The 27,320-nt window shown below is 38.0% G+C and overlaps 1 protein-coding gene across 9 annotated transcripts in view, besides 1 other annotated feature; it reads left to right on the plus strand.

Annotated features, from left to right (window-relative positions):
* Positions 1-27,320, plus strand: part of GCC2 (GRIP and coiled-coil domain containing 2) — a 60,210-nt gene that overhangs the window by 11,408 nt on the left and 21,482 nt on the right. For 5 of the 9 annotated variants that reach the window (XR_923067.3, XM_006712870.4, XM_006712871.2 and 2 more), the window contains 13 exons: positions 8,367-8,471; positions 9,038-11,503; positions 12,214-12,286; positions 14,922-15,022; positions 15,139-15,237; positions 21,084-21,203; positions 21,674-21,838; positions 22,449-22,553; positions 23,536-23,698; positions 25,023-25,123; positions 25,218-25,295; positions 25,898-26,035; positions 27,086-27,207. Coding sequence is in view for 8 of the 9 variants with exons in the window: in XM_006712870.4 (XP_006712933.1) it covers positions 8,367-8,471; positions 9,038-11,503; positions 12,214-12,286; positions 14,922-15,022; positions 15,139-15,237; positions 21,084-21,203; positions 21,674-21,838; positions 22,449-22,553; positions 23,536-23,698; positions 25,023-25,123; positions 25,218-25,295; positions 25,898-26,035; positions 27,086-27,207 (3,836 nt within the window). In the remaining variant the exon portion in view is untranslated. Of the gene's footprint in view, positions 1-8,366; positions 8,472-9,037; positions 11,504-12,213; positions 12,287-14,175; positions 15,023-15,138; positions 15,238-21,083; positions 21,204-21,673; positions 21,839-22,448; positions 22,554-23,535; positions 23,699-25,022; positions 25,124-25,217; positions 25,296-25,897; positions 26,036-27,085; positions 27,208-27,320 lie in introns of those variants that run through there. The other 4 variants (XM_006712872.4, XM_047446449.1, XM_047446447.1 and 1 more) reach the window with 3 other exon arrangements.
* Positions 361-430: an enhancer, noted in NCBI's record as "active region_16343". NCBI's record gives its function as "activates an Ori minimal core promoter by ATAC-STARR-seq in GM12878 lymphoblastoid cells {active_cell/tissue: GM12878}" and the evidence as "EXISTENCE:reporter gene assay evidence [ECO:0000049][PMID:35858748]".

Consider the following 27,320-nt stretch of genomic DNA (forward strand, 5'->3'; position numbering starts at 1 on the left):
TCTGGTCTAGTAGTAATGAATTCCCTCAGCTTTTGCTCGTCTGGAGAAGACTTTATTTCTCCTTCATTTATGAAGGATAATTTTGCTGATTATAGTATCTTTGTGATATGGTTTGGATTTGTGTCCCTGCCCAAATTTCATGTCAAATTGTAATCTTCAGTGTTGGAGGTGAGGCCTAGTGGGAAGTGACTGGATCATGGGGATGAACATGAACTTCCTCCTTGCTTTTCTCATGATAGTGAGTGACTTCTCATGAGATGTGGTTGTTTAAAAGTGTGTAGCATTTTCGCCTTCACTCTCTTCCTCCTGCTCCGACCCTGTAAGATGTGCCTCCTTCTCCTTCCTCTTTGCCTTCTGCCATGATTGTAAGTTTCCTGAGGCCTCCCCAGCCATGCTTCCTATGCAGCTTGAAGAACCATGAGCCAATTTAATCTCTTTTCTTTATAAATTACCCAGGCTCAGATAGTTCTTTACAGCAGTGCAAGATCAGACTAATACACTTTGGCTGGGAGTTTTTCCTTCAGCATTTTGAATATATCATTCTCTTATCTCCAATGAATATATTATTCTCTTTTCTCTTCTCTTTTCTCTGGGTCTGTAAGCTTCCTACTGAGAAACCTGCTGTAAGTCTGATGGGGGTTCCTTTATAGGTGACTAGATGCTTTTCTCTTTGCTGAATTTTTTTTTTTCCTCTTTGCTGTTTTTAGAATTCTCTTTGTCTTTGATTTATGGCAGTGGACTATAAATATGCCATGGAGAATACCTTTTTGCATTGTATTTGTTTGGGGATACCTGGGCCTCCTATATCTGGATATCTACCTCTCTTGCTAGACTTGGTGAGTTTTCATGTATTATTTCACTATTTCACTAAATAGGTTTTCTGGTATTTTTTGGTTTTGTTTTGTTTTCGAGGCATAGTTTCACTCTTGTGGCCCAGGCTGGAGTGCAGTGGCGCAATCTTGGCTCACTGCACCCTCCACCTCCCGGGTTCAAGTGATCCTGCCTCAGCCTCCCAAGTAGCTGGGATTACAGCCATCTGCCACCATGCCCAGCTAATTTTTTGTATTTTTAGTAGAGACGGGGTTTCACCATGTTGGCCAGGCTGGTCTTGAGCTCAGGACCTCAGGTGATCCACCTGCCTCAGCTTCCCAAAGTTCTGGGATTGCAAGCATGAGCCACTGTGCCTGGCCACTAAATAGGTTTTCTTTTTTTTTTTCTTTTTCTTTTTTTTTTTTTTTGAGACAGAGTCTCGCTCTTTCGCCCAGGCCGGACTGCAGTGGCCTATCTCGGCTCACTGCAAGCTCCGCCTCCCGGGTTCACGCCATTCTCCTGCCTCAGCCTCCCGAGTAGCTGGGACTACAGGCGCCCACCACCGCCCCCAGCTAATTTTTTTTTTTTGTATTTTAGTAGAGACGGGGTTTCACCCTGTTAGCCAGGATGGTCTTGATCTCCTGACCTCGTGATCCGCCCGCCTCGGCCTCCCAAAGTGCTGGGATTACAGGCGTGAGCCACTGCACCCGGCCACTAAATAGGTTTTCTAATCCTTCTGTTCTCTCTTTGCTTTGAGATACCCCAGTAATTCAAATAAATATTTGGAGGCCGGGCGCAGTGGCTCACGCCTGTAATCCCAGCACTTTGGGAGGCCGAGGCGGGCAGATCATGAGGTCAGGAGATCGACACCACCCTGGCTAACACAGTGAAACCCCGTCTCTACTAAAAAATAAAAAAAAATTAGCTGGGTGTGGTGGTGGGCGCCTGTAGTCCCAGCTACTCAGGAGGCTGAGGCAGGAGAATGGCGTGAACCCGGGAGGCAGAGCTTGCAGTGAGCCGAGATCATGCCACTGCACTCCAGCCTGGGGGGCAGAGCGAGACTCAGTCTCAAAATAAATAAATAAATAAATATTTGGTCACTTTATGGAGTTGCATATGTCACAAAGACTTCGCTTCTTTTTTTTTTTTTTTTTTTTGAGACAGAGTCTTGCTCTGTCGCCCAGGCTGGAGTGCAATGACGTGATCTCGGCTCACTGCAACCTCTACCTCCTGGGTTCAAGCGATTCTCCTGCCTCAAGCTCGTGAGTAGCTGAGATTACAGATGCCCATCACCACGCCCAGCTAATTTCTGTAATTTTAGTAGAGACAGGGTTTCACCATGTTGGCCAGGCTGGTCTTGAACTCATGACCTCAGATGATCCACCTGCCTCGGCCTCCCAAAGTGCTGGGATTACAGGCATGAGCCACCGCATCTGGCCGACTTTGCTCATTTTTAAAAATTCTTTTACCCTTATTTTTTTTTTTGACTATATCAGAAAAAAAAGACCTGTCTTTAAGTTCTGACATTCTTTCTTTTGCTTGATCTAGTCCATTGTTGAAGCTTTTGAATGTATTTTGTTTTTTATTCTATGAATTCTTCAGTTCTAGAATTTCTATGTGGTTCTTTTTTTCTGATATCTATTCTCTGGTAAATTTGTCATTCATATCCTGAATTGTTTTTCTGATTTCTTTGTATTGTTTTTTGGAAACTTTTTGTATCTCACTGAGCTCCTTTAGTATCGAAATTTTGAATTCTTTTTCTAGGATCTTATGAATTTCTTTTAGATTGAGATCTGTTGCTAGAGAATTATTGTGTTCCTTTGGAGATGTCATATTTCCATGCTTTTTAATGTTTTCTATGTCCTTTACCTTGATATCTGTGCATCTGGTATAATAGTCACTTTTTCCAGTTTTTTTAATTTACTTTTGTAGGGAAGAACTTTTTCCTGAAGATGTATCTTTAGTATTGCTTGGGTAGAGCACAGTGGCTTTGATTCTAGGTGGGTGCAATAGCATAGGATCGGTATGACTTATTTGGCTGTAAACAGCATCAGTGGTGTCTGTGATTTCATCAGTGACTTAGGGTGCAGTTGTTAGTGGAGGCTGTGGTAAAGTTTTGCTGGGGCCTGGAATGCCAAGTAGGCCAGTCTTCAGGTCGCAGTGGTGGTAGTTGTGGATTGAGCATGCCTGTCCCTGGGCCCCAGAGTGTGTCTGCTGGCACCAGTGTTAGCAGGCCAATTCTTGAGCCTCCAGGTAGCTTGATCAGGTGCTGGGAATGGCAGCAGTGGGCCAGGCTGTTGGGTGGGTTCTTGAGCCCCTGGGCAGTGGATGTAGCATGGGAAATGGCAACAGCAGTGGTGGGACAACCCTCTGGGTCCTAACTGATCAGCATTGGTTTTGGCAGTGACTGTGATTTGTTGATTGGGCCAGTCTCCATATCCACAGGTGGTGCATGGCAATGAGTGCCAGCTGTGGTGGTAGCAGCAGGTTAAGTGGGCCCTATCTCAGGCCCCAGGTTGAGTGCGCAGGTGCCACTGGTAATGGACTGGGCTGGACAATACCTAGTCCCCTGGACATTGCTCTCAGGTACTGGTAGGGGCTGGAGCCAGGACAGGCTGTGTGCCCTTAGGTTCCTCGGTGGTGCGTAAAGATGCCGGCTGTGGTTTATAAGGGTGGGGTGAGTGTCCCAGGCCACCAGCAGAATGTTCAGGTGGAGACAGCAGCATGTTGTGTCGCTGCGACTAAGGAGAGTGAAGTTGCTTCCCCTGGGAGCAGCCATAGGTAGGCAGCATCACCTGTGCGTCGGCCCACAGCGGTCTTTAGCCACAGCAGCTGCAGGCAGTGGAATTTGTCCTCAGGGTTCATGAGAATGCTCAGCCACCCCTCTGCATGGTTAGAAGGGGCAAGATTGCCACCCGTGCTGCCACCTCAGCCCAGGTTGCCGGGCAAGACATAATCCAGTGGAGTGGAGGCCATGGCACTGTGCTGCCACTTTTCAAAACTCAGGGGCTTGTGGGGACAGCGTGAGCTCTCTGGAGCAATGCCTTCATGCAGCTTTCAGGAAACTCCCTTTGTGAGTCTTGGGACCCACAGGGGTCAAGGGACCCTTCTATGGCTAGGATTGTAGAAGTCTGCAACAGGAATGTGGACAGCTGAGAGTCTCTCACTTAGCCTTTCTGAGCATTGGGGAATTTCTCTCTTCTCCCAGCCAACTGTAGCGGAGCAGGCTGCCTTGCCTCCTTCCCTTTCCTTATGTTTTAGGCCATTTTTGCATTGCTATGAAGAAATACCAGAGGTCTATGGGAAAAATGGAAGGATGGAAGGAAGGAGGGAGGGAGGGAGACGGGAGGGATGGAGACCTGAGACTGGGTAATTAATAAGAAAAGAGGTTTAATTCGTTCATCGTTCTGCAAGCTGTTCAGGAAGCATAGTTTGACATCTGCTTGGCTTCTAGGGAGGCCTCCAGGAGGTTTTATTTATGGCAGAAGGCAAAGGGGAAGCAGGCACGTCACATGGCGAAAGCAGGAGCAAGTGAGAGAGCACTGTGGGAAGAGGTGCCACACACTTTAAACAACCAAATCTTGTGAACTCAGAGTGAGAGCTCACTTTTCACCAAGGGAATGGCCCAAGCCATTCGTGAGGAATCCACCCCCATGATCCAAACACCTCCCACTAGACCCCACTGCCAACATTGGGGGTTACATTTCAACATGAGATTTGGGTGGGGACAAATTTCCAAACTATATCACCTTAATGTGTTTTCCGTCACTTCTCTGTTGAATTTGTGTTCTCTCTTGGATGATCTGTATGTATGTAATTATCTACTCACTATTTTGGTTCATAGTGGAGGAGGTAAGTAAGAGATGCCTCTAATCAGCCACCTTTTGAAGCCCTCTCCTAACCTTGATCTCAGAGTATTGATTTTTTGAAAACTTTTTATTTCAATAGCTTTTGGGGTACAAGAGGTTTTTTGTTACATGGATGAATTATATAGTGGTGAAGTCTGAGACTTTAGTGCACCCATCACCAGAGTAGTGAACATTATACCTACTGTGTAGTTTTTTATCCCTAGCTCCCCTTCCACCCTCCCTCTTTTGCATCTCTAACATCCATTATATCACTCTGTATGGCTTTGCATACTCATCGCTTAGCTCCTACTTACAAGTGGGAATATATATGGTTTTTGGTTTTACTTCACTTAGAATAATGGCCTCTAGCTCCATCCAAGTTGCCTAAAAACACATTATTTCATTCCTTTTTATGGCTGAGTAGTATTCTATAAGTCATTTTGGATTGCTGGATTGAATGATAGATCTATGTTTAGCTCTTTAAGGTATCTCCATACTGTTTTCCATAGAAGTTTGTACTAATTTGCATTCCCACCAGCGGTGTATAAGTGTTCCCTTTTCCCCACATCCACGCAAACATCTGTTGTTTTTGACTTTTTTTGAAACGTAGTCTCTCTCTGTCGCCCAGGCCGGGGTGCAGTGGCACAATCTCGGCTCACCGCAACCTCTGCTTCCCAGGTTCAAGCTGTTCTCCCTCAGTCTCCTGTGTAGCTGGGATTAAGGTGGTATCTCACTGTGGCTTTAAGTTGCATTTCCCTGATGATTATGATGTTGAGCATTTTTTAATATGTTGGCCATTTTTATATATCCTTTTCAGAAATGTCTATTCATGTCCTTTGCCCACTTTTTAATGGGATTATTTGGGGTTTTTTATTGCTGATTTGTTGAGTCCTTGTAGATTCTGGATACTAGTCCTTTGTCAGATGCGTAGTTTGCAGATATTTTCTCCCATTGTGTGAGTGGTCTCTACTCTGTGGGCCAACACAGTCTTGATCTCCTGACCTCATGACCCGCCCACCTCAGCCTCCCAAAGTGCTGGGATTACAGGCATCAGCCACCACACCCGGCCAACATCCATTTTCTTAATGGGCCAGTGGGTTTCTTACTGGTTTGTAGAATTTTTTAAAATACATATTTGTTGTTATTTTTGTTGTTTGTGTGGTAAATATCTTCTCCCAGCTTATGGTTTCTTTTTTATTTATTTATTTATTTATTTTTTGAGACAGAGTCTCGCTCTGTCACCCAGGCTGGAGTGCAATGGGGCGATCCCAGCTTATTGCAAGCTCCATCTCCCGGGTTCATGCCATTCTTCTGCCTCAGCCTCCCGAGTAGCTGGGAGTACAGGCGCCCACCACCACACCTGACTAATTTTTTGTATTTTTAGTAGAGATGGGGTTTCACTATGTTAGCCAGGATGGTCCCGATCTCCTGACCTCATGATCCACCCACCTCAACCTCCCAAAATGCTGGGATTACAGGCATGAGCTACCTGCACCCGGCCAGCTTATGGTTTCTTGAGTTTAAAGCTGTGTTTTTGACATTTAAATCTTAATCCATCTGGAGTTTATTTGTTTATAATATGGTATGAAGTCTTTTTTAATATCAATAACTTTTTCAACCTTAATTATTGAATAGCCTTTCTCCATTAACCTAATATTATGGTTAAAAATATGTTTGCGTTTGTCTGAACTTGTTTTCTATTCCATTGGTTGTCTGTGCCTTTGCTGATACTATATTGTCTTTATTATTTTTCTATAGCCTTAGAGTAAATCATGATATCTAGGAGAGTAAGTCCTCTCTTTCTTCTCTTCAAAAGTATCCTGGCTATTCTTGGTTTTTTACTTTCCCATATACGTTTAGAATTTTGTCATATTCCATGAAAAACTTCATTGCGATTAATTGGAATTGCGTGGAATCTGTAGTTTTATAATTTCCCCTGTGGAACGCCTTCACACATCTTTTGGTAAAGTTTTTCCTAGACTCTTGATATTCTTTGATACCATTGTAAATGCTGTCTTCTTTGTAATTATATTTTCTAAATATTTGCTACTAGTATCCAAAAATGGAACTGACTTTGTATATTAATCCTATATCTACTTTGTGAAACTCTGTTGTTTCTAATTACCTATAGATTCTTCTAGATTTTTTATATAAACAGTCATACCATCTGAAAAACCATTTCTTTTTTAATCTTTATGCCTCATGTCTTATTTTTTTATTTATTTTTGAGACAGAGCCTCGCCTGTTACCTAGGCTCAAACATGATCCTCCCACTTGCATCTCCCAAAGTGTTGGGATTGCAGGCATGAGCCACCACTCCTGGCCACCTCCTGTCTTTTTAAAGCTTTATTTTACAGGCTAGGGTATTTAATACAATGTGGATTAGCAGTAGTGATAGTGTACTAATGTTTTATTTAGGATTTTTGCATTTAGATTTGTCATAAAATGGGTCTTTGATTTTTCCTTTCTGTAAGTAGTTGGATATTGGTTTAAAGTTATGCTGATTTTATAGAATAACTTGGGGATTATTCTTGCTTTTTATTTTGTCTAAACGAGTTTGTATGAAATTGGGATGATCTGTCCCTTGAAAATTTGATAGAACTCACCTTAAAAACCATCTATTCCTCCTGTTTTCTTTGGTGGACAATTTTTAACTATTTGATTTTTAAATATAGTATTATGCTTCTTAAATTTTTTGTGAGTCAGTAAAGCTTTATTTTTAAAGGAATTGTTATCCATTTCCATTGAGTTTTCATTATTATTGACAAATAGTTATTCATAATAATTTTCTTTTTCTTTTTTTTTTTTGACACATAGTCTTGCTCTGTCACCCAGGCTGGAGTACAGTGGAGTGATCTTGGCTCGCTGCAACCCCCACCTCCTGGGTTCAAGCAATTCTCCTGCCTTAGCCTCCAGGGTAGCTGGGACTACAGGCACCCACCACCACACCCAGCTAATTTTCTTTGTATTTTTTAGTAGAGACAGAGTTTCACCATGTTGCCCAGGCTGGTCTTGAACTCCTGACCTCAAGTGATCTGCCCACCTCTGCCTCCCAAAGTGCTAGGATTACAGGCATGAGCCACCATCCCCGACTTACATAGATATGCTTCCTTTTACACTGTATTATTTTTTGGAACTTCTGTCTTTTGATCAGTTTTATTAAAAGGTGTCTATTTTGATAGCTGTGTTAAAAGAGCTGACTCTTGGCTTATTGATTTTTTTTTCCATCTCATTAATTTCCTCTTTAATTTCTGCAGAGAATAACCTGTCTCTGAGGGAGGAAGGACATAGATTATTTCTTGCTTACTCTCTGACTGGTCCCTATTCAGATTGTTGACCAATCACCAATTTTTGAGCCCCACACATGACACCTCCCTCAACAATATCTGTTGCCTCCAATTCTGAGCATTTCAGTTCTGCAGAATATTTGCCAGGTTCTCATGTGTTTCCTTGTGCAGGTCCTTAGGTTATAGCTTTCTTCCTGCTTCTAATTCAGTTCATCCTCCTCCGTAATTCAGTTTTCCAAAGATGTGTTGAAATTTCTCTTATCCTTATATCTTTTCTCCTTTTCTCTTTGCGCAATGTGTTCTACCTTTTAAAATCTCTTATTCTCACTTCAGTGTGTTTTGAAAAGGTCAGGAGATAATTACGCATGTGGTCAATCCACCATTTTTTAACCCCAGGCAAATAAATCTTGTTCTAAAATAGGCATTAACTGAACGTCTGGATGCTCTTCTTCTGGAAAAAGCAGAGACTGAGCAACAGTGTCTTTCTCTGAAAAAGGAAAATATAAAAATGAAGCAAGAGGTTGAGGTAAGTCAATATTTTAGTGTTCTTTTCTTTTTTATTAACATATAGTGTAGTCATTAATTTTAGAGGTAAGACTTTAAAAAGCATCTAATCTGATTAATATTTTATAATATAAACAAAGAAACCGAGATTGAGATTTTAAAAGAAAAATAACTGAATCACCTAACTATACAGCAACAGAGGTGACATTTACTTTTGTTGCATTATCTTTTTTATAGCTATAATGCCATCTTTACTAAAAGCGAAAAAAAGTAAGTTGATTTTCACACATGACTAAATACCATTATCTCTTTAGTTCTACGGTATTCAGAGGCATTTCTTGCCTATTTCTTGCCTATTAGGTCTGGGCTAATTTGAGTAATAGATTTAATATTGTAGATATATATTGTCATACTTTAGATAGGCAGCACCTAAGGAGAGTTATTGGAATATCAGTATCATGTTTCTCCAAATACATTTCTGCTCATTTACTTTTCTCTCTACTTAGCTTGTGGCTAATATTTTTCCTAAGGTCAGAGGCTCCTTTTGTCTTACTTAAATAATTTATGTGTGCTTATTTTTTGTAATAGGATTCTGTAACAAAGATGGGAGATGCACATAAGGAGTTGGAACAATCACATATAAACTATGTGAAAGAAATTGAAAATTTGAAAAATGAGTTGATGGCAGTACGTTCCAAATACAGTGAAGACAAAGCTAACTTACAAAAGCAGCTGGAAGAAGCAATGAATACGCAATTAGAACTTTCAGAACAACTTAAATTTCAGAACAACTCTGAAGATAATGTTAAAAAACTACAAGAAGAGATTGAGAAAATTAGGCCAGGCTTTGAGGAGCAAATTTTATATCTGCAAAAGCAATTAGACGCTACCACTGATGAAAAGAAGGAAACAGTTACTCAACTCCAAAATATCATTGAGGCTAATTCTCAGCATTACCAAAAAAATATTAATAGTTTGCAGGAAGAGCTTTTACAGTTGAAAGCTATACACCAAGAAGAGGTGAAAGAGTTGATGTGCCAGATTGAAGCATCAGCTAAGGAACATGAAGCAGAGATAAATAAGTTGAACGAGCTAAAAGAGAACTTAGTAAAACAATGTGAGGCAAGTGAAAAGAACATCCAGAAGAAATATGAATGTGAGTTAGAAAATTTAAGGAAAGCCACCTCAAATGCAAACCAAGACAATCAGATATGTTCTATTCTCTTGCAAGAAAATACATTTGTAGAACAAGTAGTAAATGAAAAAGTCAAACACTTAGAAGATACCTTAAAAGAACTTGAATCTCAACACAGTATCTTAAAAGATGAGGTAACTTATATGAATAATCTTAAGTTAAAACTTGAAATGGATGCTCAACATATAAAGGATGAGTTTTTTCATGAACGGGAAGACTTAGAGTTTAAAATTAATGAATTATTACTAGCTAAAGAAGAACAGGGCTGTGTAATTGAAAAATTAAAATCTGAGCTAGCAGGTTTAAATAAACAGTTTTGCTATACTGTAGAACAGCATAACAGAGAAGTACAGAGTCTTAAGGAACAACATCAAAAAGAAATATCAGAACTAAATGAGACATTTTTGTCAGATTCAGAAAAAGAAAAATTAACATTAATGTTTGAAATACAGGGTCTTAAGGAACAGTGTGAAAACCTACAGCAAGAAAAGCAAGAAGCAATTTTAAATTATGAGAGTTTACGAGAGATTATGGAAATTTTACAAACAGAACTGGGGGAATCTGCTGGAAAAATAAGTCAAGAGTTCGAATCAATGAAGCAACAGCAAGCATCTGATGTTCATGAACTGCAGCAGAAGCTCAGAACTGCTTTTACTGAAAAAGATGCCCTTCTCGAAACTGTGAATCGCCTCCAGGGAGAAAATGAAAAGTTACTATCTCAACAAGAATTGGTACCAGAACTTGAAAATACCATAAAGAACCTTCAAGAAAAGAATGGAGTATACTTACTTAGTCTCAGTCAAAGAGATACCATGTTAAAAGAATTAGAAGGAAAGATAAATTCTCTTACTGAGGAAAAAGATGATTTTATAAATAAACTGAAAAATTCCCATGAAGAAATGGATAATTTCCATAAGAAATGTGAAAGGGAAGAAAGATTGATTCTTGAACTTGGGAAGAAAGTAGAGCAAACAATCCAGTACAACAGTGAACTAGAACAAAAGGTAAATGAATTAACAGGAGGACTAGAGGAGACTTTAAAAGAAAAGGATCAAAATGACCAAAAACTAGAAAAACTTATGGTTCAAATGAAAGTTCTCTCTGAAGACAAAGAAGTATTGTCAGCTGAAGTGAAGTCTCTTTATGAGGAAAACAATAAACTCAGTTCAGAAAAAAAACAGTTGAGTAGGGATTTGGAGGTTTTTTTGTCTCAAAAAGAAGATGTTATCCTTAAAGAACATATTACTCAATTAGAAAAGAAACTTCAGTTAATGGTTGAAGAGCAAGATAATTTAAATAAACTGCTTGAAAATGAGCAAGTTCAGAAGTTATTTGTTAAAACTCAGTTGTATGGTTTTCTTAAAGAAATGGGATCAGAAGTTTCAGAAGACAGTGAAGAGAAAGATGTTGTTAATGTCCTACAGGCAGTCGGTGAATCCTTGGCAAAAATAAATGAGGAAAAATGCAACCTGGCTTTTCAGCGTGATGAAAAAGTATTAGAGTTAGAAAAAGAGATTAAGTGCCTTCAAGAAGAGAGTGTAGTTCAGTGTGAAGAACTTAAGTCTTTATTGAGAGACTATGAGCAAGAGAAAGTTCTCTTAAGGAAAGAGTTAGAAGAAATACAGTCAGAAAAAGAGGCCCTGCAGTCTGATCTTCTAGAAATGAAGAATGCTAATGAAAAAACAAGGCTTGAAAATCAGAATCTTTTAATTCAAGTTGAAGAAGTATCTCAAACATGTAGCAAAAGTGAAATCCATAATGAAAAAGAAAAATGTTTTATAAAGGAACATGAAAACCTAAAGCCACTACTAGAACAAAAAGAATTACGAGATAGGAGAGCAGAGTTGATACTATTAAAGGTACCATTCATTTGAATTCTATTGTTTCAAATAAATTCTTAGTTCAACTCTACAATATATACGTTAAACATTTTTACACCTTGACGTCAAAAGTAAATTTTTACCATTTAAGCCCAAGTGGCAACTTTCTGAAAAGTGCATTAGACATTTCCATGTTGTATGTCCAGTTTATTACATTTATTTTTGGGGAGTTTTAGATACTTTTAAAATCTTGAGTTTATAGAAGATTAAATGATTAGGGGTTTAAATGTCTTGATCAGAAGTTTATTAGTCACTAGCAAAACAACTAAACATGGAAAAACTTGAGTTTCATTCTCGTGTGATATGCTTAGTTATTTTTTGTAAAGAGCACTTTTTAAGTAAGAGCTGTGGTGGTATTGCTAAAATTTTAGGGTTTTCTTTAAAAATTAAAGATTAAAAATCATTTAATCTTCTCCTTATTACACATGTATTTAATGTATCAGGTTGTTTATCTTGGCCTTGGTTACTACTTTTTTTTTTTTTAATAGTAAATGCCATATGCATAGTAAGGTCAGTATTAATTTTCTGGTCTAACAAGGGAAAATCTGTTGACCAAATTGGTTTCTGTAGGAATTCTCTTTGATAGTGATTTTCTTATGCTTAACATGATGGCCAGTTCATTATGGAAAATGAATTCTGATTCTGGTTTTTGTTTTGTTTTGTGTTTTTTTTTCCCCTGTAAAATCTAGGATTCCTTAGCAAAATCACCTTCTGTAAAAAATGATCCTCTGTCTTCAGTAAAAGAGTTGGAAGAAAAAATAGGTAACTATGGTTTTGCAGATGTTGTCACAATTAATTAGACAGATTCTTCTTAGTGTTAGAATAGATTGGGAAATATAGTAGCCAAATAATGAGTTGTTAAAAACACAGTTCGTAGCTGTCTTTTCCTCGAGCTCACATTCTTGCCCCTCTAACACCTGTTTGCCTTCTCTTTCAAAAGTGTTACTTTCTATTGTTTAACCCAAGCAAGATTGGTGTGATTTATAAATGGCTTCATGATTTATTTTGGATTTTTCATTCATTTAGCAAATTTTATTTAAATGCCCAACTATTCTAGACCCTGGTGATAGAAAAGTGGTTGAGGTACAGACCATGTGCTCAGAGATCTCACTGTTGTTTGAGGTGTGGACAAGATACAGTACTAACAGCATAGGAACTTAACACTGTTTTGAGTTAAAAAAAAAAAAAAAAGCAGCGTAGAATAGGGTTTTCAGCCAAGTCTTGAAGAATGAGAAATTTTACACAGGAAGAAAGGTATTCTAGGAAGAAGGAAGAGCAGGTGCTTGTAGGTTGACATATAGCATACATCAAGGCACGTACTAGGAAGTTCCTGGAGAGGTAGGAGCCTGATCATAAACACACTAGTATGATTGATATGCAGAGGAGTTAGGACTTTATCTTATCCATTTATTCCTCACAGTAACATTATAGGATAGCTCTTTTATTCCCATATAAGAATCAGGAAACGAAGACTTAGAAGTATGTAATGTGCCAATGATCCCTGAATTTAGTACCCTGTTAGATTAGGGTAAGGGAAGTTGAAGAGTTTAGAATGACTCCCAGTTGTCTATAATGGGTGATTGGGGCAGATTGGGATGTTCAGTTTTAGAATTAAGTTTAAATACCAGTCCAAGTAAAGATGTTAGAATGCTATGCAAATCTGGAGTTAAGGGGAGAGAGCTAAGCTAGAGATAAATACTTCTAGTTAAAGAGTGGTCATTAAAAGCCAGGAGAGGCCGAGTGCGGTGGCTCACGCCTATAATCCCAGCACTTTGGGAGGCCTAAGTGGGCGGATCACGAGGTCAGGAGATTGAGACCATCCTGGCTAACACGGTGAAACCCTGTCTCTACTAAAAATCAAAAAAAAAAAATTAGCCGGGCGTTGTGGCGGGCGCTTGTAGTCACAGCTACTCGGGAGGCTGAGGCAGGAATATGGCATGAACCCGGGAGGCAGAGCTTGCAGTGAGCCAAGATCATGCCACTGCACTCCAGCCTGGGCGACAGAGGGAGACTCCGTCTCAAAAAAATAAATAAATAAAGCCGGGAGATTCAAATTACCAAGGGAGTATAGCCAAAAGATGGAGACCAGAGACATTTTTCCATTCATGTAAACATAGAGAAGATAGAGACAACACAGGAAATTGAGAAGGAACAGCTAGTAAGGTAGGAAAACCTGGGACATAAAATGTCTTGAAAGCTAAGGCAAGTGACATGGAAGTGAAAGAAGTGCTTCAAGAGGGAAAAAGCCATTGCTAGTGCTGCTGATGTATCAAATAAGATGAGTACTGAGACCTGACCACTGCGTTAAGCAACATAGAGGTCAGTGTCCATGACATGCTGGAACCAGAGCTTGATTGCAGTTGGTTCTAGAAAAAAATGGGGGAGGCAATGTTTGAGAGCATATATAGACAACTCTTTTCAAGGGATTTGCTATAGGGAGAAAAAAAGCGATGGGACAAAACTAGAGGGACCGGGTGGTTTAATTTTTTTATTTTAGAGGGGCAGTGTGGTTTAATTTTTTATTTTATGGGAAGAATAACAGCATGTTTAAGATGTTCACCTGTCCCCTACCCTCTTTAACTGCTTTCACTATTTGTTCCTGGCCTTAATTTCTTGATGATAATTTTTCTTGTTGCATGTTTATAAAATAGGAAAAAATCGACTAGAAAGGGGAAAATTATTGCTGCAGAAGAAGGAGGGAGAATTGTTGCTCTGATGCTTGAGTAGGTAATGAGACGCAGGATGAAATGCAGATGTGGAACAATTGGCCTTTGCTCCGCACACAGACACTTCACTATGGCAGCCAGAGGGAAGGCACCGGTGCAAGTAAATTAATAGGCCAGGACAGAAATTCAGATCATAACTGAATTTTTAGAAACAAATACCAAGAAGTCCTGAACTCAGGAGTTCAAGCTAAAGAAGTTAACAGAGATCAATATTGGATAGGTAAAACATATTACAGGTTTCGTTGTGAAAATCAGACCCAGCAGCCAAGAGGAGGAGTGCACTTATGGAGCATAAATGTTGATCTGCATCTGATATCTCTGATACTTGATCCTAATTTGCACACTATCACCTAAAGTCCTAGCATACCTGCATTTCCAGGAAATCTAATGAGAAAGAAGTCCTGAAAGCCTCTAATTCCTGGAAACATATGAAACGGCTAGAAAAAAGTAGACTATTTTGGAGGATTAAAGACAATGGAAACTTTTTACATTGTTTGTCTCACATAATGAATAAAATTCCACTTTAAAAAATGATATTACTGTTTTTACTGCTTATTTTAATATCAAATTACCAATTTTGTGCTCCCAAATAATCTAGGGCTAAAATAAGCAAGTAATTTGAATTTTTTCCTTTTGAGTTCGTATGTAATCCATTTATTTTCTATTTTTAGAAAATCTGGAAAAAGAATGCAAAGAAAAGGAGGAGAAAATAAATAAGATAAAATTAGTTGCCGTAAAGGCAAAGAAAGAACTAGATTCCAGCAGAAAAGAGGTGAGCTGACTTTAAAAATGTAAGATTCCGGAATCTCACATTTTTAAAAATCAAGAGTTTTTCTATCCATTAAAAAAAAACAAAAACCTCTTTAATTTTACTTGTGTTTAAAACAGACCCAGACTGTGAAGGAAGAACTTGAATCTCTTCGATCAGAAAAGGACCAGTTATCTGCTTCCATGAGAGATCTCATTCAAGGAGCAGAAAGCTATAAGGTAAAAAATAGTCATTTTAATAACAAGTTATAAAAGTTGTAATAATAACTTCTAAGTTAAGAAATGTAGTGGAAATGTAAAACTATTGTCAACAAAACAATCACCTTGTATTTTTTAGTAAATCTTTATTCTGTTTTGGGGTGCAATGTAATAGAATCCTAATATCAAGATTCTAAAGTGGTTAAGCTTTAAATAGTGGCTTGCTTTTTTTTTTTTTTTTTTTTTTTTTTGATGAAGTCTCTCTCTCTCGCCCAGGCTGGAGTGCAGTGGCTCAATCTTGGCTCACTGCACCCTCTGCCCCCAGGTTCCAGCAATTCTCCTGCCACAGGCTCCCGAGTAGCTGGGACTACAGGTGCGCGCCACCATGCCCGGCCAGTTTTTGTATTTTTAGTAGAGACGGGGTTTCACCATGCTGGCCAGGCTGGTCTTGAACTCCTGACCTCGTGATCCACCTACCTCGGCCTCCCAAAGTGCTGGGATTACAGGCATGCGCCACCACACCTGGCCTAAATAGTGCCTTTAAATTGTTGTTTATAAAAGTAAAATTTTGTTTTGGGATTTCCTAATAAAATCAGTAACAAAAAGATAACCTATTCCTACTGTGATTATTTAATATTGTTCTGGCCAAGTGAATAAACCTGAAGCTTAAACAAGGTGAAGCATTGTTATTTGGAGGCAATATGCTTATTCACCTTAGTAACATGAAAATGTATTATTAAAAAGATAAGAATTAAAAATTAAAGTATGTTTACCTTAGTAACATGAAAATGTATTATTAAAAAGATAAGAATTAAAAATTAAAGTACAACAAAATCACTGAATGCAAGATAAACATCACTACATTTCTTCAGGTATTCATTCAGCAAATGTTATGTGGCAGACTGACTTCTGAGTTCTGGGGCAGGTTGGAGGTCAACCAAATAGACTGAGTTCCTATCCTCTTAGGACTTAAAAAAATCCCAATGGCAATAACAGGCAAACATACAAAAATAGAAGATACATACTGTGTAGAAAAGTAAGGTGGGTAGGGAGAAGAGAGTGAGTGGTAATCAGGCGGGATTTGATGAAAAAAAATATCCCACAGCAGCCATAAAATCCAATCTTAGGAAGCACTTAAATGAGAAGTTTTGGCACTTAATGAAGAAAACTGCAAAACTTATATAGGATGACTATTATTTGAACTATCAGTTCTCAGATTGGTTTATAAATTCTAAGAGAAATTCATTGAAAATTGTAGATTTTTTTTGGCTGGATCTTGACAGAATTCTAAGTTTTAAGTAAAAACTAGCAAGAGTAGCTAAATTTTTTTTTAAATGAAAAGAAAAAAGTGACATCCTACTCAAAGAGACACTGAAACTTATCACAGAGTTACAGTAATGTGGTAGAATTCTGATGCAAGAATGGTACAGATTAATGTAGGAGAAGAGATAGATACTTCTGCATAACAACAAACAGGTGCCAGGCTCTCTTCTAAGCACTTTACATATCTCAATATGTTAATTCTCAAAACAACCCCCAAGTATATTAGCATCAACACTTTACAAGTGAGGACTCTGAGGCATAAATAGATGAAGGAACTCAAAGTCACAGACTCCGATTTCTTAAGAGACCTCAGGGTCACAGAACAAGTAACAGAGCAGAGCTGAAATTTTAATTCAGGGAGTCTCGTTCCAGATCTATTGTTTCACCAACTAAGCTATACCATCTCAGTAAAGTTTGAAACAGAAACCAATGAAGAAAGAAATTCCTTCTAAGGAATTAGGTTTTTATTTCACTCCACATACCAAAATGTATTCTGGATGGATTAAAAAATTTTGTGAAAAATATTTTTTAAAAACCTAGAATGAAATACTTGATCCTTTAACTGACTTCTGCATACAAAAGACTTTTTCAAACTTTAGATACTAAATTTCGGCCAGGTGCAGTTGCTCACGCCTGTAATTCTAGCACTTTGGGAGGCCAAGGTGGGTGAGTCACTTGAGGCCAGGAGTTTGAGATCAGCCTGGCCAACACAGCGAAACCCTGTCTCTACAAAATACACAAAATTTAGCTGGGCATGGTGGCACACACCTGTAGTCCTAGCTACTCTGATGGCCGAGGCACGAGAATCACTTGAACCTGGAAGGTGGCAGTTGCAGTGAGCGGAGATTGTACCACTGCACCCCTACAAAGGAAAAGATTACAAAGGAAAAGATTGATAGATTTAACTATTTGAAATTGATATGCCTGGTCTACCTCTGGAAGAAATTAATAGATTATAGGGTCTCTTAAAATGTAAAGAAGCAAGTTCCTTGTGTAACTTGCTCTTATGAAGAAGCCCATATATAAATTTTAAATGGGTTTTTTAATGGATTTGTAAGATCTTTGTATATAAACATACTAATTCTTTGTCATGTATAAATTTAAATTTTCAAATTTCATTACCATATTTTCATATGTAATATAAACTTACGTATAAAAATGTGACAGGATTTAAGGTAGAACCAGAGGTGCTGAAATGTTTAAGAATGTTGATCACTTTTAAAAACACATGTACCTACGCTCTATTAGGTTCTTCAGGATGCATCATTATAAAGATACTGAGTAATTTTTGGAGTTTGTTAATTTGGCTAGTTTTTTCAGTGTTCATATCACTTGTAATAACTTGTATCGGTTTATTAAAAGATCTGAACACACAGGAGTCCTAGAGGGACAATAATTTGTAATTATTCAGATGTTTAGAAGCGTCTACCCTACATAAGGAAAGTAGACTCTTGTATGCATGGCATTCATTTTTGTTCCAAGACTCCCCTTAGGAATAATACTTGATTAAAATCAGAATTTCCCAAAGGGAGCCATTGTTTATTATGCCCTGGCATAGCAATTCAGTTTTTACAGCTATTGACAGCAGTTGGAACCAGAATGAGTAAAAATGAAGAAGGCCAGATAGAGACTAAGAGGATAAATATCTCTGATTTCTAGAGGAGCCTACCCAAATACTAAACAAGCACAGGATCTTCTTTCTATGGAAAAGAAAAGACCCTAATGATACCTCAACCCTGTATGCATGTGTGCCAAGAAGTAGCAGACTCAGATAAATAAACATAGAAAAACATACTTTGGGAGGCCGTGGCTTGAGGATTGCCTGAGGTCAGGAGTTCGAGACCAGTCTGGCCACATGGTGAAACCCCATCTCTACTAAAAAATACAAAAAAATTAGCTGGACGTGGTGGCTGAGGTAGGAGAATTGCTTGAACCAGGGAGGTGGAGGCTGCAGTGAGCTGAGATCACGCCACTGCACTCCAGACTAGCGACAGAGCGAGACAACGTCTCAAAAAAAATAAAAAATAAGCCAGATTCTAGATTCCCAAGTCTTGTCTTCTGCCACTGAAATCACTAAATGGACAGACTATAAAATCAAAATTCAGATTGTAACAGTCAGCCACCAGTTGAGTCAAATAATTGACCATGTGTAAATGAGAATTAGAAACAAAAGTGCGTTAGTCAAGGATCCGATCTGGGAAGCAAGAGCCGGGCATGGTGGCTCACACCTGTTATCCTAGCACTTTGGGAGACCTAGGCAGGCAGATTGCCTGAGCTTAGGAGTTTGAGACCAGCCTGGGCAACATGGTGAAACCCTGTCTCTACTAAAACTGCAAATATTAGTTGGCTGTAGTGGCACACACCTATAGTCCCAGCTACTTGGGAGGCTGAGGGAGGAGAATCGCTTGAACCCAGGAGACAGAGGTTACAGTGAGCTGAGGTTGCGCCACTGCACTCCAGCCTGGGCGACAGAGCAAGACCCTGTCTCAAAAAAAAGATTTCGCAAGCACGATCCAAAAGAGCATAAATGCCACACAAGACCCAGCAGAGGCCGGGCTCAGTGGCTCATGCCTGTAATTCCAACACTTTGGGAGGCTTGAGGCATGCGGATCACCTGAGGTCAATTCAAGACCAGCCTGGCCAACATGGTGAAACCCCATCTCTACTAAAAATACAAAAATTAGCCAGGTGTGGTAGCACATGCCTGTAATCCCAACTACCCCAGAGGCTGAGGCAGGAGAATCATTGGAACGCGAGAGGCGAAGGCTGCAGTAAGCCAAGGTCACGCCACTGCACTCCAGCCTGGCGACAGAGCGAGACTCCATCTCAAAAAAAAAAAAAAAAAAAAAAAAAAAAACGAAAAACCCCACCAGAGAAGCCTGCGGAGGTGAGCCAAGGACACAAGAGGTCCAGGTCCACAGGCAGGCACTGCCAGGCTTCACAGTCCTCTTGGTTAATGTCGTTTCTCTTTTATGCATAATATCTCAGTGGAACTTCCAAATATAAACTTTGCAAGAAAACATAAACAGTGTGCTAGCAATAAAACCATAATTAGATACCACCTCACATCAGTCAGGATGGCTACTATTAAAAAGTCAAAAAAATAACAGGTGCTGGTAAGGTTGCAGAGAAAAAGGAACACTTACACTTTTGGTGGGAGTGTAAATTAGTTCAGCCATTGTGGAAAACAGATTCCTCAAAGACCTAAAAACAGAAATACCATTTGACCCAGCAATCCCGTTACTGGGTATATACCCAAAGGAATGTGAGTCATTGTGTCATAAAGACACATGTACATGTATGTTCTCTGCAGCACTATTCATGATAGCAAAGACGTGGAATCAACCGAAAGGCCTGTCAGTGGTAGACTGGATAAAGAAAATTGGTATATATACACCATGGAATACTACACAGCCATAAAAAAAATATGAGATTATGTCCTTTGCAGGGACATGTATGAAGCTGGAAGCCACTATCCTTAGCAAATTAATGGAGGAACGGAAAACTAAATACCACATGTTCTCACTTATAAGTGGGAGCTAAATGATGAGAACACATGGACACATACAGAGGAACAACAGACACTGGGGCCTAACAGAAGGTGGAGGGGTAGGAGGAGGGAGAGGATCAGGAAAAATAACTAATGGGTACTAGGCTTAATACTTGGATGGTGAAATAATCTGTACAACAAACCCCTGTGACACAAGTTTGCCTACATAACAAACCTGCACATGTACCCCTGAACTTAAAAGTTAAAAAATTTTTTAAAAACACCATTTTGCTAGTAATTTTGCAGGCACATTTATGGGAAGAATAGAAGTTTTCCAGAAACAAAGGCAAAAACAGGATTTATAAGGAAGGAGAGAGAGAGAAAAACATAAAGAACTACATGCAGTCTCGAAACTGAATCTCATTTACATATTTTGGTGGATAACCTAATTAGCTTGTGTGTGGCAAGAAAGTCTGATCATTCTGTCCTTCAGTAGGCCAACTAGGAATATCAAAGAAAATTCAGTTGTCTTTGGATTCTTCAGGAAATATTGAAAGTGTCACTGCAGAGTGTGAGAGACTAAATCTGTGAATGTCTTCCAGTGTTCTTTCATTAGCACCTTTACTTTATATTAGGTCAGGCCTGGAATATTTCTCTCATTAGAATTCTTCAGGTGGAGTTAGGTATCCAGGTTAAACTTTTTATCCTCTGTCCTTAAATTGTGTTTATTAAACGTTGTATCTATCCTTAAATTGTGTTTACACTTCAGAAGTTCATTTTTGTTAATGAGTAGAATATTTAACCTTGGAGCTATTATATTGTTTATATTTAAAATTTTCTTCTTCTTTCATATATTTCCCCCACTCTCCAATACTAAAAGTTACCCAAAATGTGCTAGTTTTATTACCTAATGCCAGTTAGGTATTCTGTTCAACTTGGGTAAATATTTTAAGCATCCAGAATGGACTCATGAATCTTAAGGTGGCTTGATGATGAAGTCTGACCTGTTGAATGCAAAATTATATACCAAAGTTAAATCCTTCTTTTATTGAAGAATCTTTTATTAGAATATGAAAAGCAGTCAGAGCAACTGGATGTGGAAAAAGAACGTGCTAATAATTTTGAGCATCGTATTGAAGACCTTACAAGACAATTAAGAAATTCGACTTTGCAGGTAATTTTTTAATAAATCCAAAAATGAAAACTATAACAGGTATATTTTAATCTCAATACTTTTTGCATAAAAAATTTAAAAAATATAGTCGGAAACAGAATTTATTCCCCCCCCACTTTACCCTCCTTCCCACTTAGGAGAGAAGAATAAGACAAAACAGCTAGCAACTATCTTGCTTATTATTCTAATCTCAGTTCCCCTAGAGGGTTGTTTGTTTGTTTGGGGGTTTGTTTGTTTTTCGTTTCTGCTCTTTGCTCTGCCAGTGCACCTGGTCTCTTGTAAGGTTTACCATATTAGTATTTCAATGACAGATTTTAAAACTGATTCTTAATATTATCGTTCTGTAGCATGGACTTGGAAATCTTCATTTGTCACACTATGCCAATATTCTCATTAATGTACCTGTTCATTCTTCCTCTGCTGTATATGTTTTTTGCATGTTTATAGTAATGAATCATTTGTCATTTCAGTGTGAAACAATAAATTCTGATAATGAAGATCTCCTGGCTCGTATTGAGACATTACAGTCTAATGCCAAATTATTAGAAGTACAGATTTTAGAAGTCCAGAGAGCCAAAGCAATGGTAGACAAAGAATTAGAAGCTGAAAAACTTCAGAAAGAACAGAAGATAAAGGTAAAAACAATCCTATGAGATTGATTCACATATATATGATGCATTTACCAAAATATTATTTAAATGAAGGGAAGACTTACTAAGAGTAGCATTTATGAATACAGCAGAGTTCATTAATTCCTTAATACCAACCATAAATTTGAGAATCCATGCTGTGATTTGGGGTGTATATATTTTAAACATTGAAATATTACCAAACTTTTTGTATTTTAGCGTGTCAGATTTATTTTATTTTATTTTTTTGAGACGGAGTCTCGCTCTGTTGCCCAGGCTGGAGTGCAGTGGCGCAATCTCAGCTCACTGCAAGCTCCACCTCCTGGGTTCATGCCATTCTCCTGCCTCAGCCTCCCGAGTAGCTGGGATTACAGGCACTCACCACCATGCCCAGCTAATTTTCCGTGTGTATTTTTAGTGGAGACGGGGTTTCACTGTGTTAGCCAGGATGGTCTCAATCTCCTGACCTTGTGATCCACCCGCCTCGGCCTCCCAAAGTGCTGGGATTACAGGTGTGAGACACCACGCCCGGCCGTCAGATTTATTTTAAAGCCCCTTAAAAATACCTTTTTAATATTGGTTGGGTGGTGTGGGTTGTTTTTATTTTTAATTTCAGGAACATGCCACTACTGTAAATGAACTTGAAGAACTTCAGGTACAACTTCAAAAGCAAAAGAAACAGCTTCAGAAAACCATGCAAGAATTAGAGCTGGTTAAAAAGGTAAAATAAAACACTAGGATCAAAATTGATGTAATATTCACATTGTTCTGTTTTGTTGTTCTGTTTGTTCTGTTCTCTCTGCAATCTCACTCTGTGGCCCAGGCTGGAGTGCAGTGGCATGATCTCGGCTCACTGCAACCTCCGCCTCCCGAGTTCAAGCAGTTCTTGTGCCTCAGCCTTCCAAGTAGCCGAGATTCCACGCATGCGTCACCACACCCGGCTAATTTTTTGTATTTTGGGTAGAGATGGAGTTTCACCAATTTGGTTAGGCTCGTCTGGAACTCCTGACCTCAAATGATCCGCCCATCTCAGCCTCCCAAAGTGCTAGGATTACAGGTGTGAGCCACCGCACTCAGCCTGCATTGTTAAACTATTCTATACATGTTGAAAAGGAATATTTTAGAATGTTACTTGTGGTACTAAAATAATGCTTTATAAATTATTTGCTCAAAAAATTGGAAATTTAACTTACTTCTCTAAGTACCAGTCCTTTCAGAAGAATCTAGGCTCCTGAGTTACAAGATTTTGGTTTGACAGTTCATTTTGTATACATGATTGTTGTATGACACATTAAGATTTAATTAATGTCAAAGCTTGAAATTTGTATTATACTTAAAACTTTGGCTGACTTTACTCCTTCAAAGATGAGGCTAAAAAGAAATGTACTATAAGAGCCACTTGACATATTAGTATTTTATAAATAAGAGCTCCGCAAGCTACAGCTGCTAGTTGTAGTTAGTTATAATGAAATAAAATGAAACTAAGAAAGTTGGGTTAAACTATTAGAAAATATTTTGTGAAATTAAAAAGTAGAAAATATCCAACTCCTCATTTCTTTGTTACAGTGTAAACAATTTCAGTATTACAGAAAAGCACCCATTTATTGCTGTGGCATCATTTTAGCAATTTTACAAATGAAAAAAAAAATTTACAAATGAACTGATCTACTATTGTGTAAATCTTTTACTTATAAAATGTGCAGGATGCCCAACAAACCACATTGATGAATATGGAAATAGCTGATTATGAACGTTTGATGAAAGAACTAAATCAAAAGTTAACTAATAAAAACAACAAGATAGAAGATTTGGAGCAAGAAATAAAAATTCAAAAACAGAAACAAGAAACCCTACAAGAAGAAATAAGTGAGTTAAAGAAAATTCACTTTACTTTTTAATTATTTCATCATAACAACTTGATTTGGTGGGGGGCATTACTTGTTTATTTCACCAGTCTTTCACTGTCAGTCAGGTGTTTAACACAGTGATAAATGTTACTGGGGACCCAGAATGGGTGTAAAACTGTTTGCCATTAAGTTGTTTGTAGTCCATGCCTATGTCCTGAATGGTAATGCCTAGGTCTTCTTCTAGGGTTTTTATGGTTTTAGGTCTAACGTTTAAATCTTTAATCCATCTTGAATTGATTTTTGTATAAGGTGTAAGGAAGGGATCCAGTTTCAGCTTTCTACATATGGCTAGCCAGTTTTCCCAGCACCATTTATTAAATAGGGAATCCTTTCCCCATTGCTTGTTTTTCTCAGGTTTGTCAAAGATCAGATAGTTGTAGGTATGCGGCGTTATTTCTGAGGGCTCTGTTCTGTTCCATTGATCTATATCTCTGTTTTGGTACCAGTACCATGCTGTTTTGGTTACTGTAGCCTTGTAGTATAGTTTGAAGTCATGCTGCTATAAAGACACATGCACACGTATGTTTATTGCGGCATTATTCACAATAGCAAAGACTTGGAACCAACCCAAATGTCCAACAATGATAGACTGGATTAAGAAAATGTGGCACATATACACCATGGAATACTATGCAGCCATAAAAAATGATGAGTTCATGTCCTTTGTAGGGACATGGATGAAATTGGAAATCATCATTCTCAGTAAACTATCTCAAGAACAAAAAACCAAACACTGCATATTCTCACTCATAGGTGGGAACTGAACAGTGAGATCACATGGACACAGGAAGGGGAATATCACACTCTGGGGACTGTGGTGGGGTGGGGGGAGTGGGGAGGGATAGCATTGGGAGATATACCTAATGCTAGATGACGAGTTAGTGGGCGCAGCACACCAGCATGGCACATGTATACATATGTAACTAACCTGCACAATGTGCACACGTACCCTAAAACTTAAAGTATAATTAAAAAAAAAAAAGAAAAAAAAAAGATGTTTGTAGTCCACATTTATTCACTTTAACATTTCTTAAGTACCTTGCTGTTTCCTGGTCTGGGTTAACTAAGATTGTCTATGGGTTGTAATTGTTACAGCCGGGAGTTGGGTACAGTAGAGTTTATGGCACTGTTGTTACTACTGTCACATATGTTTGAAGTATTCCATAATAAAAAGCTAAAACAGGCTTAAAGACAAGCCAATACAAAGAAGACATATTTGTGTATTTAAATTCACTGATAAAAATTGTTACATCTTTTTCTGCTGAAATTATTTCTTGTGCTAGCTTCATTACAGTCTTCAGTACAACAATATGAAGAAAAAAACACCAAAATCAAGCAATTGCTTGTGAAAACCAAAAAGGAACTGGCAGATTCAAAGCAAGCAGTATGTTAATTTTTCAGTTTCATATTTAGTACTTATTCATAATTTATTTATGAGTAACATTAAAAAAAATTTAACCAAGATTCTCATTCTATAGGAAACTGATCACTTAATACTTCAAGCATCTTTAAAAGGTGAGCTGGAGGCAAGCCAGCAGCAAGTAGAAGTCTATAAAGTAAGGGTTTTACTTTTTAAGATTAAAAAAATGTTTTTTCATGTAGAAGTGAGGTACCATTTAGAGATTTTATTGATTATCCTATAACGATATCTAGAAAGATTCCTCAACATTTTGAGGAAGTTACAACAATAAATCAAGTCTGGCATATAACTGGAGTATATTATTTGGCTCAAGCTAGATTATTTTCATGTATTTGGAAATTCATAATATACTATAGAATAGTGCAAAATAAAATAAGCCTGCATCTGAACTAAATGCTATTGCAGTTACAAGGAACAGTTTATAAAATGATTTTATATGTTTGCTATATTTGTGTATATTTTTATATATATAATGTCTTGAAGTATTTAAACATTGTATGTTAAATATGTAGTCTGGGATTTTCTTTTTTTTGAATTGATGTTGGTTTAAGAAAAGATAACTTAGAAAATGTTCTACTTGTCTCTGCTTTTTCAATAATAATACATAAAAATATTTCACTACTTAATTATGCCTTATATGTACTTATGTCTCAAACCTAAAGTTTGTATTTTAAGGAAAACCTCTTTAACTAGTGAAGATAGGATTTGCTAAAGCTAAATTTAAAGATTTACCCCCAGATACAGCTGGCTGAAATAACATCAGAGAAGCACAAAATCCACGAGCACCTGAAAACCTCTGCGGAACAGCACCAGCGTACGCTAAGTGCATACCAGCAGAGAGTGACAGCACTACAGGAAGAGTGCCGTGCTGCCAAGGTGCGTTCTTCAGGGCAGCCACAGCAAGCCACTGGGATTTTATTATCAGCTAGTCATTGGTTTACTCCAGGGCTGTGCTCTGCCTTTTTAGTATTTTCCTGTTAAGAGCACTTACTAGATTAAGACCTGTTCAGTTAATCTGGCTTTAACCCCAATCCCATGCCAACCCTAATCGTAAGTTGGATCACTTTTTTTGCCAAAAGGAAAAACATGATGTTTTTTCCATTTCAACCTTGTTTTGCAATTTATGTGTCACTTATTTATAAAACTTTTTTTATTAGAAACGTGTTACAGTTCTTAGGGCTAAATGATTATAAAATAACATTTTAATAGCATGGCTGTGGGGGCCTACTTTCTTGTCATCATCCAAAACAGAGACAGTGCAGTGGTTGTGTTAGATGCAGGTCTTATTTAAGCAATCCTGGCAACACTGTTGTGGGAGTTTACAGATCACTTCAAGAAAGTGGAAGACCTAGAACTTAACACTTAACCACCCTGTTTTGAAAACTGAAGTTCAAATAACTTAATTTCTGAGTTAATTTTTCTCAAATTTATAAAAAGAGGGGATATCATAAGAGAAAATGTTTATTAAGTTCCAAAAGCACATAGTGTCACTATAAAATGTATGGTTAGTAAATTAATCTACCAGGGTAGAAGACATGGTAGAAACAGATCTCTTATCAGAAAATATGTATTATTGAGAGGCCTTTAAAAAGTGTAAGGCCTCCCAACATGAAGACCTGATAAATGTTGGAGGCAATGGATATCCTAATTACCCTGATTTGCTTATTAGACATTGTATGCATCCATCAAAATATCACATGCACCCCATAAATATGTACAATTATGTATCAATTAAAAAGAAAATTTTTTAAGTGTAAAGCCAACAGAAGTATGCTTTTTAGCAAGGTTAATCAAGAAACCAAAAAGAATGTCAGCCATTTTTCTCATTTTCAAAAACAGGTTTTTATCTCAATTTGTTAATCTCTGAAAGAAAATAGAAGGACCCTGTTACAGTAGAAAAACGTTTCTCTCTTTTAAATGTTATAGGCAGAACAAGCTACTGTAACCTCTGAATTCGAGAGCTACAAAGTCCGAGTTCATAATGTTCTAAAACAACAGAAAAATAAATCTATGTCTCAGGCTGAAACTGAGGGCGCTAAACAAGAAAGGTAAAGTCTGAATTAAATATGCAGAGTTTTCCTCCCACAATGCAGGTTCTTCACCAAGTAGATTGAAAATCCTATTATGATTTTTTTTTTTTTTTTTTTTTTTGAGACAGACT

The sequence above is a fragment of the Homo sapiens genome, chromosome 2 (assembly GCF_000001405.40).
Source record: "Homo sapiens chromosome 2, GRCh38.p14 Primary Assembly".
Taxonomy (NCBI): Eukaryota; Metazoa; Chordata; class Mammalia; order Primates; family Hominidae; genus Homo; species Homo sapiens.